This window comes from Homo sapiens, chromosome 2 (assembly GCF_000001405.40).
Source record: "Homo sapiens chromosome 2, GRCh38.p14 Primary Assembly".
NCBI classification, from domain to species: domain Eukaryota; kingdom Metazoa; phylum Chordata; class Mammalia; order Primates; family Hominidae; genus Homo; species Homo sapiens.
Genome location: NC_000002.12, coordinates 221,244,509 through 221,246,471, shown reverse-complemented (window position 1 = coordinate 221,246,471; position 1,963 = coordinate 221,244,509). Strand labels below are relative to the sequence as shown.

The following is a 1,963-nucleotide window of genomic DNA, read 5'->3' as shown; positions in this document are numbered from 1 at the left end:
GCCTGTAATACCTGTAAGACTATCCTGGCTAACACGGTGAAACCCCGTCTCTACTAAAAAAAAAAAAAAATTCAAAGATTACCCAGGCATGGTGGCATGCACCTGTAGTCCCAGCTACTCAGGAGGCTAAGATAGGAGAATCGCTTAAAAAATTCGGGAGGCAGAGGTTGAAATGAGCTGAAATCACGCCACTGCACTCCAGTCTGGGTGACAGAGCAAGACTATGTCTCAAAAAACAAAAACAACAAAAACACATTTTTTAATCATCTGTATTATAAATTGTTTGTATTGAATTCCCTGTGTTTGGAGCACCTAAAGTAGTTTCTGTCTTCCTAAGGGGATCTTGACTGATACAACCTCCAAAGGTATGTTTGTGGATTTTTAAAAAATAAATGTGTTTATAGATTTAAAAAAAAAAAAATTGAGACAGGGTCTTGCTCTGTTGCCCAGGCTGGAGAGCAGTGGCATGTTCATGGCTCATGTAGTCTCAACCTCCCAGCCTCAAGCAATCCTCCCACCTCAGCCTTTGGAGTAGCTGAGGCTACAGGCATGCCCCACCACACCTACCTAATTTTTGTATTTTTTGGAGAGACAGGGTTTCCCTATGTTGCTCAGGCTGGTCTTGAATTTCTGGGCTCAGGCGATCCTCCAGCCTCGGCCCCCTAAAGTGCTGGGATTACAGGCATGAGCTACTGCACTGGCCCAAAGTTATGTTAACATATTCTTCTTGTCCCATTTGGCTTTATGGTATAACCTCATAAAACAGAATTGGTAATTATCAGTTTTTCTTTTCTTAGACACACATTGTATAAGATAGAGATTGGTATTGAAAATCTTTTATGGTGGCAGAGAAACTAAGAAAATTACGTTTAAAGGTAAATAAAAGTTGTGTTATATTGTTTTCTCAGATTACATTTTAAAAGACAACTGAGGTTAAATTTACTCCCATGTGTCTGAAAATCCCGTAACCATTTTTCTTAGAGAGGAAGGTTTGTTTATCTGAACAAAATAATATAATTAGTACATTTTAAGTATATGAATTAAACTAATGGTATTATTTGATTTCAATCCTTGTTCTAGACTATCGCTAAAAGCAGGAGGAAGACTTTACAGATACCTCAGAGGTAGACTTTGACACAAAAGATGCTCATGTACCTGCAAAGTGTTATAAATTTGCTGTTGTTGTTATGCAAGGATACTTTTAATTGAGTCAGTGGAAGATGACTTTACATAACTCCACCCTGCATTCCTACTCCCCCGTTTCTCACACTTAAATAAAGGAAGTAATTGAGACATTTTAAGCTTTGTTATTCTAAGCATGATACACATGAGAAACAAAACCTGTCTGATGGAATTTTTAGATATTGATAGTTAAATGTGTAAATGGGAAAATTGTATTCTTACGATGAGAACTCAATTTTATCCCAACTCTGGTATCTACACCTCCAAAAATTCCTATTGACGCTGTAAGTTTTTTAAATCATTACGGAGGTTAATAATTTTTTTTCTTTTTTTCTTTTTTTTAAGACGGAGTCTCTCTCTGTTGCCCAGGCTGGAGTGCAGTCGCGAGATCTCAGTTCACTGCAAGCTCTGCCTCCCGGGTTCACGCCATTCTCCTGCCTTAGCCTCGCGAGTAGCTGGGACTACAGGCGCCCACCACTACGCCCGGCTAATTTTTTTGTATTTTTAGTAGAGATAGGGTTTCACCATGTTAGCCAGGATGGTCTTGATCTCCTGACCTCGTGATCCACCCTCCTCGGCCTCCCAAAGTGCTGGGATTACAGGCGTGAGCCACCGCGCCCGGCCAAGAATAATTTTTTTTCTTTAACATTTATTAAATAGTCGTATTTTGGTCCTTTTACATACAGTCTCATTTAATAGTCACAAAATCCTCTGTTATATGAATTATTATAACCATTTGACAGATGAGAAAACTGAGTTTCGCAGTGATTATTACCCCAAA

The 1,963-nt window shown here is 39.0% G+C and overlaps 1 annotated feature.

Annotated features, from left to right (window-relative positions):
- Positions 969 to 1,480: an enhancer, noted in NCBI's record as "NANOG hESC enhancer chr2:222109712-222110223 (GRCh37/hg19 assembly coordinates)". NCBI's record gives its function as "activates a minimal SCP1, AML or CMV promoter by ChIP-STARR-seq in primed H9 embryonic stem cells {active_cell/tissue: H9 hESC(primed)}" and the evidence as "EXISTENCE:reporter gene assay evidence [ECO:0000049][PMID:30033119]".